General features: G+C 36.9%; 1 annotated feature.

Moving 5' to 3' along the window:
- Positions 8,668 to 9,302: an enhancer, noted in NCBI's record as "OCT4-NANOG-H3K27ac hESC enhancer chr3:34682175-34682809 (GRCh37/hg19 assembly coordinates)". NCBI's record gives its function as "activates a minimal SCP1, AML or CMV promoter by ChIP-STARR-seq in primed H9 embryonic stem cells {active_cell/tissue: H9 hESC(primed)}" and the evidence as "EXISTENCE:reporter gene assay evidence [ECO:0000049][PMID:30033119]".

The raw sequence follows: 13,160 nt of genomic DNA on the forward strand, positions 1-13,160 counted from the left end.
GTATTGTTTGTTTTTTCAGTTTTAACCATTCTAATAGGTATATAGTAGTAACTTGTTCTTTACATTTACAATTCCCTAATGATGTAAAATGTTGAGCATCTTTTCATATGTTTGTCATCAACACATTTTTTTGGTGAGGTGTCTTCAGATCTTTATCCCATTTTAAAATCAGATTGTTAATTTTGTTATTGTTGAGTTTAAGAATTCTTGTTTATTTCAGATATAATTTAGATAAATTCTTGTTTATTTTAGATAGTCATTTATCTTATGTTTTTTTTTTAAATATTTTTTCCCAGTCTGTGGCTTGTTTTCTCATTCTCTTGGCAGTGTCTTTAACAGAGCAAAGGTTTTTAATTTTAATGAAGTTAAATTTGTCAACTTTTTGTTTCATGGAACATATATCTTTGGTGCTGTTTCTGAGAAGTCATTACTAAGGTCATCTAGAATTTCCCCTATAGTATATTCTAGAATTTTTATAGTTTTGGATTTTACATTTAGGTCTATGATTTATTTTGAGTTAATTTTTGTGAAGGGTGTAAGGTCTGTATCTAGATTCACTCATTTTGCCTGTGGATATCCAGTTGTTCCAGTTCTATTTGTTAGAAAGACTGTATTTTTTTTCTATTGAATTACTTTTACTCTTTTGTCAAAGATCAGTTGAGTCTGTCTGTGTCTATTTTTGAGCCCTCCATTTTGTTTCATTTATCTATGTTTCTATTTTTTTCTCTAATACCACCCTGTCTTAATTACTATAGTTTTACACTCTGTCTTGAGATTAGGTAATGTCAGTCCTTTGATTTTTTTCTTCAGTATCATGTTGGCTATTGTACTGATTTTCTGGGGTTGCCATAACAAAGTACCATAGACTAGGTGGCTTAAACAAAAGAAAATTATTCTCTTACAGTTCTTGGAGGCTGGAAGTCCAAAATCAAGGTGCTGGCAGGGTTGGTTTCCTCTGAGGCCTCTCTTAAGCTTGTCGATGACCACCTTCTTATTGCCTCTTCACATGGACTTTTGTCTGTACAAAGACATCCCTGGTATCTCTAGTATGTCCTAATCTCCTCTACTTATAATGACACTAGTCAGACTGGATTTGGACCTACTCTAAGATCTCATTTTAACTTGTCTACCTCTTTAATGGCTCTATGTACAGGTATAGTCACAATCTGAGCTATTGGAGATTATGACTCCAATATATGAATTTTAGGGGAGGACACTTCAGTTCACAACAGCTATTCTGGATCTTTTGCCTCTCCATCTAAACTTTAGAATTACAGTTGACCCTTAAACAACATGAGTTTGAACCATGTAGGTCCACTTCTATGCATATTTTCTTTTGCTTCTGCTACCCATGAGACAGCAGGACCATCTCCTACTCCTCTTCCTCATCCTATTAAATATGAAGATGATGAGGATGAAGACCTTTATGATGATTCACTTCCACTTAATAAATAGAAAATATATTTTCTCTTCCTTATGAGTTTCTTAATAACATTTTCTTTTCTTTAGCTTACTTTATTGTAAAAATACAGCATATAATAAGATACAAAATATGTGTTAATTCACTATTTATGTTATTGGTAAGGTTTCTGTGGTCAATAGTAGGCTACTAGTAGTTAAATTTTGGGAGAATCAGGCTGGGCGTGGTGGCTCACGCCTATAATCCCAGCACTTTGGGAGGCTGAGGCAGATGGATCATTTGAGACCAGGAGTTCGAGACCAGCCTGGCCAACATGGTGAAACCCAGTCTACTAAAAATACAAAAATCAGCCAGGCATGGTGGCATGTGCCTGTAGCCCCAGCATCTCAGGAAGCTGAGGCACGAGAGTTGCTTGAACGGAGATAGAGGTTGCAGTGAGCCAAGATAGTACCACTGCATTCTAGCCTGGGGGACAGAGCGAGACTCTGTCTAAATAAATAAGTAAATGAATGAATGAATGTTGGGAGAATCAAAAATTATACATGGATTTTCAGGTATGTGGGTGGGTGGTGCCCTAACCGCTTTGTTGCTCAAGGGTCAACAATAGTTTGTCAGTATCTACAAAGTAACATGATGGGTTTTAAAAATTGATATTATGTAGAATGTATAGATCTGGTGGGAAAAGACTGACATCTTGAGAATACTGAGTCTTCCTATCCGTAAGCATAGAGTATTTCTCCATGATTTAGTTTTTCTTTGATTTCTATCAGAGTTTTGGAATTGCCCCCATATAGATCTTACACTTATTTTGTTAGATTTACATCTATATATTCTGTTTTGGGGGGTGTGATGTAAATGGTATTATGTTTTTAATTTCAAGTTCCAATTATTCATTGCTGTTCTCTAGGAAAACAACTGAGATTTGTATATTAACCTTGTGTTATGGGATGAATTGTGCTCCTCACCCCCCAAAATTTGTATTTTGAAACCTTAACTCCTAGCACCTTAGAATGTGATTATATTTGGATATAGGGCTCTTAAATGGATAATTAAGTTAAAATGAGGCTATTAGGGTGGGCTATAATCCAATCTGACCAGTGTCCTCATGAGAGGAGTTTTTTTTTTTTTTTTTTTTTTTTTTTTTAACAGTCTCACTCTGTCATCCAGGATGGAGTGGCGTGGTGCGATCTCCACTCACTGCATCATCCCCCTCCCAGGTTCAAGTGATTCTCCTGCCTCAGCCTCCCGAGTAGCTGGGATCATAGGTATGCACCACTATGCCCAGCTAATTTTTGTATTTTTAGTAGAGACAGGGTTTCGCCATAGTGGCCAGGCTGGTTTCGAACTCCTGGCCTCAAGTGATCAGTCCGCATCAGCCTCCCAAAGTGCTGTGATTACAGGTGTTAGCCACTGTGCCTGGCCTAAGGAGATTTGGAAACATTGAGAGACACCAGAAATGTGTGTGCACAGGGGAAAGACCATGTGAGAACATGATGAGAAGGCATCTCTATGCAAGCCAAGGAGAGAGGCAATCCTAATGACACTTCATTTTAGACTTCTAGCCCCCAGGACTGTGAGAAAATAAATTCCGGCTGAAACAGGGAAAGTTCCCTTGTCTCCCTAGCAGGCTGTGCAGTGGGGGTGTGGCTCACTTCTTCAGTGCCTCGCTACTCAAATCCCCAGGGGGAGCAGGCAGATAGGCAGGTTGTGGAGCTCCGACTCGACGGCAGCATCTGGGGGTATATGTTTACAGTTCCTGAAGCCCCAGTGGGCATGTGTTACAGTGTGCTCTTTTAGTTTTTCCATCCGTAGGCAGCTTGTGTTAGTCAGCTCAATTAGACCCTTTGCCTTATCACAATGACAGAGGGCTTTCTGTATCCTGGGGTTTCTTGCCTTGGTGTACTGGAAGAATTGGATCACACATGGGCTTGGAGAATGAGTGCAAGGTTTTATTGATTAGAAGTAACTCTCAGCAGATGGAGGAGCCAGAAGGGAGATGGAATGGGAAGGTAGTTTTCCTTTCTGAAGTCGGACCACTTAGTGGCCTGGGCTCTCCTTCGACTGCCCTGGCCAAACTCCGCATCAATCCGCCGGTTGATGGCCTGCCGGCCTGCCGCTGTCTGTTGGTCTGCTCCTGCACCGGTGAGTTCCTCTCCACGTCCAGCTGCTTGTGTGCCTGCCTGCTAGGGTCTCAGGGTTTTTATAGGCACAGGATGGGGGTGTGGTGGGCCAGGATGGTCTTGGGAAAGACAACATTTGGGCAGGAAAACAGAAATGCCTGTCATCACCTAGGTCCATGGGGACAGGCTGCGGGGGGTGGAGCCCTAGCCAGAGACTACACCCTTCCTTTCCCAGCACGTCCCTGTTGTTTAAGAAGCACAATCTGTGGTATTTTGTTATGGAAGTACTAGCAAACTAATAGACCTTATATGCTGCAACTTTGCTCTAATTTCTTAGTTCCAAGAAGTTGTTTTGTTTTGTTTTTTGTAGATTCTTTTACATTTTTGACTTTTGCTTTGAGTGTTTTCTGCTTTATAACGTAAGAAAAACCTAATGTGTATTTCTAAAATATATAAATAATATACATCATTCTTCTTCCATGAATTGCAGTGATGTACATACCCTCCATATAAGAATGTACATATTTAGGACAGCAGCATATGGTTAGGTCATAAACATTATGCACTCAATATTTGTTTAATGAATAAGTTAGAGTTTAAATATACTGTTTGCTCCTATAATTTTCTAATAAGTTTTAGAAAAAAATGACTCCTCAAAATAAGAAAGAATTGTTGAGATATGAAATAAATGAAAAGAGGAGAAAAGCTAATTGCATAGAGGGAACTGTCTTCTGCCAACTGATCCTGGAGAGAAAATCCTCCCAGGAGCTCCATTCACAGATGAAAGAACAAGATTGTCTAAGATATAAAAAAATTGAGGCTCTACTTGATAATCTTCTCAAATTTACTCCATTCTGTTTCTCCAGTTTTTAAATGTGTTCTTGGCCAAGAGGGCACTAGCTGAAGAGTGTGCAATTCCTGCAAGATTTCCTCTATGATCAAAGACAAAAATGAAATATATCTGGCACTTACAGAAAGAAAGTTATATTAGAGGTCTAACTTACTATATGATTTTTTCCTCTTTAAGTGAATTGTTTCTATTAGAGCTAGGCTGTATGTATCCTTATTATCAAAAGTTAATAGTTAACTGGAAAGTAGCCCAAGGTTTGACACATCGTAAGTGCTCAAAATGTATGCATTGGCATGTACGTGGATGAATTACCAGTGCAGGAACAATGCATGTTAGATTTGGGCTTTTAACTCCTTGAAAGAGATCTGTCCAGCTTTGTTGCCTGTAGGACTGAACAAAGAAGCCTGTTTTTATGGGCTGATGAAGTAGACATCCCATAGTTTGTCACAGATGACTAAAATAAATGTCTGCCTTAATAAAAAGAGAAATTATTTATATGGCTAAAAATAATCTATAAGCTACAAAATTATTTCCTGGTGAAGAAAGACCTTATAAATTATTGTTAAATTGAAGTGTCTTTATTACCCCTTCCCTGCTTTTGAGAGAGCAAGAGAGTAAAAAGAATATAGCATATTAAACAGCTGTCTTTATCTATGGGGCTAACTAATGGTGTTTTCTAAAACATAATTCCCTGGATTTTGGAGGTAATGCAAATTAAAAATTAAGTTTGGTTGAAACTTTTCTGGCTAAGGCAAATTTTAATCATAGAAAGTCAATACATATCTGCAGAGTTCTGAAAAGGAAATCATTCGGTCACCTGGCCTCACACATCTACTTCTATGTCTTTTGTCTAAGAAGCCAGGCATGACCTAACCCTTGAAGAGTTTAAAGCCTTTTCTCTGCAGTCCACTCTCTTGTCTATCAGTGGAAGTAAGCATGTACTTAAAAATATCCTATTAATTAAACTGAGTGCTCATGAGGTGCAAGCATCTGTGCTAGATATTTCTAGGAGATGCAGAGTAGATCAAGATAGAATGAGGCCTCATCACCTAAGAGACTTGCAAGCTAGGTGAAAAGTCAGTTCATCTAACTTCTAATAGCTGGTACCAGAAGGAAAGGCTTATTCCTTAGGGGATTGTAATATTCTTTAGAGGGATGTAGTAAGATAATATTAAATTTCTATTGGTACTTATTTTTATCTAATGTCTAAAATTTCTATTGTTATCTTCTTTAATAATGCATATGTTATGTTAATATACTAGCAAATGTTGGTATAATAAACATGAATTGGGTGTATGGGCTTATTTCATGGAAAGTTTATTTTGTAGATAGAGGTAATGTTAAAACCATTTTGGAGAGTACTGGATATACCTGGTACTTGGTCTCACACACTTTAAAAAAATTATCAGTATTTAGCAGAGGACCTGGGACAGTGTAGTACTCCACCAGATGTATAAATAGGGAACAACATTAGAGAAAGAGGTTGTTGAGGCTCATTTTCAGAGTTATGAGATAAAAATACCAAAAAAAATCTAGTGCTAATAGAGTACTTGCAATCAAAATTTTATCTGGTAATGATGCAGGGCAGGCAAGCCCCCATACTGGGCTTAGCGTGGGAGGGTTCTTTGCTTCATCCGGGAAAGAATTCAAGGGCAAGCTGGTAGTGTTAGGAATTTTTATTGAAGCAGCAATGTATAGCAGCAACCGAGGAAGTTCTCCTTGTGGAGCAGAGCTAACTCATAGGTAGTGTGCCCAGAGTAGCAGCTCAGGAGCAGTTCTATAGTCATATTTATACCCACTTTTAACTACATGCAAATTAAGGAGCAGATTATGTAGAAATTTCTAGAAAAAGGGTGGTAACTTCTTGGTCATTGTGTCACTGCCATGGAAAGGGGCAGTAACTTCTGAGTGTTGCCATGGCAATGGTAAACTGACATGGCACTGGTGAGCATGTCTTAGGGAGAGGTACTTTCGCCTCTTCCCTGTTTCAGCTAGTCTTCCGTCTAGTCTTGAGTTCAAGTTCCCACCTCCAGAGTCAAGTCCTGCCTCCTACCTTAGTAACAGCAGAATTATATGCAAAGCAAAACATAGACATTATTTCTCTTGGTATTTAGGTTGGTAACTGGAAGTTCCCTGCTCCTCTCATTCACTTGTCTTTTTTACAAAATTGTAGGAAGCTACTAATGTGTATATAATGTTTTGCTTAGGGTTTTTGTGACTTTTGTGCTAATTATCTGATTCTGAATGCAAAAGTTAACAATACATATTTTTCTGCAATAGAGATTCGGAATTATAGATACCAACATGAATACTTTATTGCTCATCTGTGATATTTCTTCAAAGAAATGTCATTACAAGCACCTTTTTATGCTGGTAGATACAACATTTGGAAAATTGTTATCAGTAATTCAACAGGAATAAAGTGGAAAAAACCACCTTGATCTAATTTTACATAATTTAAAAAATATCTATTCTCTCCTCTATGTAATTGAATCCCTGTGCCTCTTGCTTGTTCTTTCTGGAAATTCACATCCTCTTCATGAAACACAAAAGTTTGGTTGGGCTTAACGCTAAGTTTTCTTTTGCTCTAATGTGCTATGTTTCATGACAACACTTACAGATATTTGTTCCATATATATAAGGAATATTATTCTTGGCTGTATTTCAATTGGTATCTAATACCTTTTTAAGTCAAAAATAATATTTTGCTAAGTGTTTAGGTGCTTCAAATATTGGTAGAGTAATATTGTCATTCTTTTACTCCAGACATCATTTGGCTAATGTAACCATTTTTATTTCTCTTAATATTTCTTGATAAGTCAATTATTCCTCAGCAAGTCTTTTTTATTCTCTGGAACCCTGATTAATGCATCAGAATCTTTCTGTAAGTCAGGTAGAAGAAGAATTCATGTTGATTGTGATTATGTGGCCTTATTAGAAATATGTGTATTTGATGATATCCTTATATCTGAAAAATCATATACTGCCTGATCAGATGCTGAGAGAACATGGTCCATCATTTTTCTCTCAATGATTAATCATAATGTTAAGAAACATTAGCTTATCTGAATCAATTGTAAAGTGTGTCATCATTGACTGATGACAAAATACTTTGCAAAAAATATTAAAGCAGATTCTAGTTGTTTCCTATAATAGAATCACTTTCACTCACACACCTCCATATGCTTTCTTGAGTGGGAGAGAAAGGATTGGAATTATGGGTGTTGCGAAGATTTAAAGATACATTGCAGAACACCTATTAGAAGACATTGGTTAGATTTTAAGCATCATTTCTGAGTGTGTTTCCCGTATGTATAGGTGGAGAGGGTGGGGAATTAAGAATTAATGATCCATATAATATATTATCACGCTCAAGTTTGTGTCATCAGTATTGCCATAATTGCTATGATAGCCTACAAATTTATTTCCCTGTTCCTATTCTCCTCCTTACATGTTTTCTACCTAGCAACCAAGGTGATCTTTTATAAATATGTCAATTAAGCCACCTTCCTCTTTAAAAGTGCCCAGAAGCTCATCATTGTGCTTAAAATAAAATCCATACTTATCATGGCCTATGGCTCCTTAGAATTTGAACTCTTCTTTCCTCTTAGACTTAATCTTTACTAGTTTTCCCTTTGCTCACCATCTGTAATTCAACCTCAAACACATCTCAGCAGATGCTGTCAGTGTCACATCCATACTCTCTGACACTTACATTTGTATACATCCCAGCTGGACTTCGAATTATCAGCCTGTGCATTTATTTGCCTGAAATCTTTCTTTGCTACAAGAGGCTGCTAAGTCTGCAAAAGAGGCAGTCTGGAAGTTATAGGGAATTAATACCTCTTAGAAATAACCCTCAATCAAGAACTGACCAAAGTGAGTATATAAATACACCTAACTTCTTTATCCTTCAGGTGGGGTAGATGTGTATTTTACACTGCCTCCCAGAGTTGCACAGCAGGACGAAGTTGTCATTGACCACTGTAGTAACTTGCTGAGTTATAAAACCTTTACTGACATCTTTACCTTCACTGCATCACCTCTCTTTCATGCGCGTCCATGTGAAGAGACCACCAAACAGGCTTTGTGTGAGCAATAAAGCTGTTTATTTCACCTGGGTGCAGGCGGGCTGAGTCCGAAAAGAGAGTCAGCGAAGGGAGATAAGGGTGGGGCCATTTTATAGGATTTGGGTAGGTAAAGGAAAATTACAGTCAAAGGGGGTTTGTTCTCTGGCGGGCAGGAGTGGGGGTCGCAAGGTGCTCAGTGGGGGTGCTTTTGGAGCCAGGATGAGCCAGGAAAAGGACTTTCACAAGGTAATGTCATCAGTTAAGGCAAGGACCAGCCATTTACACTTCTTTTGTGGTGGAATGTCATCAGTTAAGGTGGGGCAAGGCATATTCACTTCTTTTGTGATTCTTCAGTTACTTCAGGCCATGTGGGCATATACGTGCAAGTCACAGGGGATGCGATGGCTTGGCTTGGGCTCAGAGGCCTGACATTCCTGCCTTCTTATATTAATAAGAAAAATAAAACAAAATAGTGTTGAAGTGTTGGGGCGGCGAAAATTTTTTGGGGGGTGGTATGGAGAGAGAACGGGCGATGTTTCTCAGGGCTGCTTCAAGCGGGATTGGGGCGGCGTGGGAACCTAGAGTGGGAGAGATTAAGCTGAAGGGAGGTCTTGTGGTAAGGGGTGATATTGTGGGGATGTTAGAAGAAACATTTGTCGTATAGAATGATTGATGATGGCCTGGATACGGTTTTGTATGAATTGAAAAACTAAATGGAATAACAGAAGGAGAAAAACAGGTATAAAAGGTCTAAGAATTGGGACGACTCAGGATGTCTGATTAGAGAGTGCTTAAGGTGATTTGGCATAGTCCTGCCAGCAAAGATTATTTATTTACTTCAAGAGTTAAGAGTGGCAGTTTGGGGATAGCATCAGGAGATATCAGCTGTGATGGCTTGGAAAAACAGTGTAAACTGGCAGTGTAAACAAGAGTAGGGCATGTATGAGTAGTTGAGAATGGTGAATAGCAGTATGACTAGACAGAAAATAGTAGGGATGACAATTTTTTTTTTTTTTTTTTTTTTTTTTAGTCACAGTCTAAGTTGGTCTGGTGTCTGTAATGAGACTGGGGCCTAATAAAAAGGAGCGTCCATACAGGACCTTAAATGGGCTGTACCCTGTAGCATTCCGAGGACAGGCCTGCATTCTGAGAAGGGAAAGTGGTAAAAGTATTGTCCAGTCCTTTTTAAGTTGGTGGCTGAGTTTGGTGAGGTGTGTTTTTAAAAGACCTTTAGTCTATTCTACTTTTCTTGAAGATGGAGGACCATAAGGGATATAAAGGTTTCACTGAATACTAAGAGCCTGAAAAACTGCTTGGCTGATTTGACTAATAAAGGCTCGTCTGTTATCAGACTGTATTGAGGTGGGAAGGCTAAACTGAAGAATTATGTCTGACAGAACGGAAGAAATGACTGCGGTGGCCTTCTCAGACCCTGTAGGAAAGGCCTCTACTTACTTTGAGGGCCTCTAAAAGTATTAAAGCAGCGGCAGCCACTGCACGCAGACATGAGGGCTAGGCTAAAACAGTAAGGTCAAGTTGTTTGGACAGAAAGGCTACAGGGTGTGGTCCTGGCTCTTGTGTAAAAATTCTGACAGCGCTAACCATGCCTAGGAAGGAAAGGAGTTGTTTTGTAGAAGGTGCTTGGGTTTGAGAGATCAGTCGGACACGATTGGCAGGGAGAGCACGTGTGTTTTTATGAGAATTATGCCGAGATAGGTAACAGATGAGGAAGAAATTTGGGCTTGATTGAAGTAATGGGGGCTGGCTGTGAAGCTTTGCGGCAGTACAGCCCAGGTAATTTGCTGAGCTTGACGGGTGTCAGGGTCAGTCCAAGTGAAAGCGAAGAGAGGCTGGGATGAAGGGTGCAAAGGAATAGTAAAGAAAGCATGTTTGAGATCTAGAACAGAATAATGGGTTGTAGAGGCAGGTATTGAAGATAGGAGAGTATCTGGGTTTGGCACCACGGGGTGTATAGGCGAAACAATTTGGTTGATAAGGCGCAGATCAGATTGTCTACTAGGTAGGGTGCTCGTACTCAGTCCTTTTCTTTGGGTCTGCTTCTAGAGGGACCCAGACTAAGATAACTGAGTTAGTTTCTACAAAACTTTCTTTTTTTAAATTTCATCATAAATAGCATACCTTTAAAGAATGTCCTTGTCTCCAGTCTAAAGTAGCAACTTAATTATGCTCTAATATCAGTATATTTTAATCTCTACATATCAATTACTATTATGCTTTTTTCTTGCTTGTGTATCTGTTCATTTTCTTACTTTCCAGTAGACAAGAGCTCTGGGGGAAGGAAAGGCCTTTTTTTTTTTTTAAATTATTGTTTACTGTGGAAGCACCACAGAAATAATAAAGTCCATGGAACACTGGGGACTTAATATATGTATTGAGAATTAAGTATCAACTGTCAGTTCTCAGATTTAGTCAACTTCTGTTTTTGTTTGTTTTGGTTTTTGTCAAACAGTTTTGAAAAAGAAATTGCACAAAGCATTGCTTATTTAGAGGCATGTTTTCAAATGGATATTTTTGGTTTGCTTTTTAACTTTCAATTATGTATCTTTGAATGGCTTTCCTAAAAGTGGGACACATTTGTTTGAGCGTATTGATACTTAGCTACCTAGAATGATAAAAATAATATATAAAAATTACATTTTAGAAATTACCTAATTATTTTTCTTACATATTCTTATAAAATCATAAAAATAATATGAAGCTTATTTCTACTTTATAGGTCAGAAAATAGAGGCTTTGCTAACAATAACAAATGTCAGTAAAATCCAAAACTGCTGTTTTAAAAAGATCAATACATTTGGAAAACTGCTAGTCAGATTAATCAAGAGAAAAAGAAAGAACATCCAAATTCTTATCAGAAATAAAGAGGGCTCATCACTATTGATCCCATGGATACTAAAAGGGTAATAAAGGAATATTATGAATATTATGAACATCACTCTGACCGCAAACTTGACAATTTAGATACAATGTACCAATTCTTGCAAGACACAAACTACCAAAACTCATATAAGGAAAAACAGGCAATCTTGATAGGCCTATATTTATAAAAGAAATTAAATCAATAATTAGTAATCTTTTAAAAGAAGAACCAGGTCAAGATGGTTTTATTGGAGATTTCTATTAAATATTTTAAAAAGCAATGATACAAATTGTCTACAATCTCTTCTAGAAAAAGAAAGCAAAGAAGAAGAAACAGAACAACAACAAAAAACAGACAGCCCTAATCTATCTATAATTACATCAAATGTGAATGGCCTAAATATGTTAATTAAAAGATAGGGATTGGCAGAAAACTCACATGATCATATCAGTTTATGTAGGAAAAGCATTTTATAAAATTCAGTACCAATTCATGACTGAAAACTCTTTGAAAACTATGACTAGAATGGAATTTTCTCAAATTTTTAAAAAGAATATTTACAAATACCTACAGCTAACACATTATACTTAAGGATCAAAGAGTAAATGTTTACTCACTGACACTAAGAACAAGGCAAGGAGGTGTACTGTCACCACTGCTCTCCAACATAGTACTGAGTTCTAGCCAATGCAATAAGACAAGGAAATAAAGAGATGCAAATTGGAATGAAAGAAATTAAATTATTTCTTTGTGAAATTGGTATGATAGTCAACTTAGAAAATCCTAAATAATCTTAAAAAATAACTTCTAGAAATAATAAATGATTATAGCAAAGTTGCAGGATATAAAGTCAACCTACAAAATCAGTTGCACTGTTATATATTAGTAACGAGCACCTGGAAAGAAGAATTAAATTAAAATTATAATATGATTTATATTATCTCAAGAAATGCACACTTAGATGCAAATTTAACAAAACAAGCATAATAATACTTCATTATACCTGGGTATTAGTTCTGTAATATCCCAAGAAATGCACACTTAGATGCAAATTTAACAAAACAAGCATAATAATACTTCATTATACCTGGGGTATTAGTTCCAGGACTCCTGAGTGGATACCCAAATCCATGAATGCTCACATCACTTATATAAAATTATGTAATATTTGCATATAATCTATATACTTGCTCTTCTATGCTTTTAACTATCTACATTATTTGTAATACTTCATATAATCTAAATGCTATGGAAATACTTGCTATAGTGTATTTTTATATTTGTATTCTATTTTATTTTTGTATTAAATTATTTTTTCAATTATTTTTGAACCACAGTTGGTTGAATCAGTAGATGTAAAACCTGCAGATATAAAGGACTGACTGTACAGCACTTGCATAATGAAAACTACAAAATACTAATGAAAGAAATAAAAGATGATTATCTAAATAAATGGAAAGCTCTACCATGTTTGTGATTGAAAACTCAACATTTTAAAAATGTCAATTCTCCCTAAATTGATATAGAAGTGTAATGCAGGCAAAATCTCAGGAAGCCATTTTGTAGATATAGACAGATTATTGTTAAAATTTATCTGAAAAGGCAATGAAACTCGAAAAGCTAAAACAATTCTGAAAAAGACCAATACAAATCACTCTATTCAATTTTAAGACATTATTATATAACTCTGGTAATCAAAATCTTATGGTGTTGTTCGAACAATAGGGAAGTAGATCAATGAAGCAGAAAAGAGAAGCCAGAAATATCTCCATACATATACAGTTAACTCATTTTTGACAAAGTTGCAAAGGTCATTCAA

This window comes from Homo sapiens, chromosome 3 (assembly GCF_000001405.40).
Source record: "Homo sapiens chromosome 3, GRCh38.p14 Primary Assembly".
Taxonomy (NCBI): domain Eukaryota; kingdom Metazoa; phylum Chordata; class Mammalia; order Primates; family Hominidae; genus Homo; species Homo sapiens.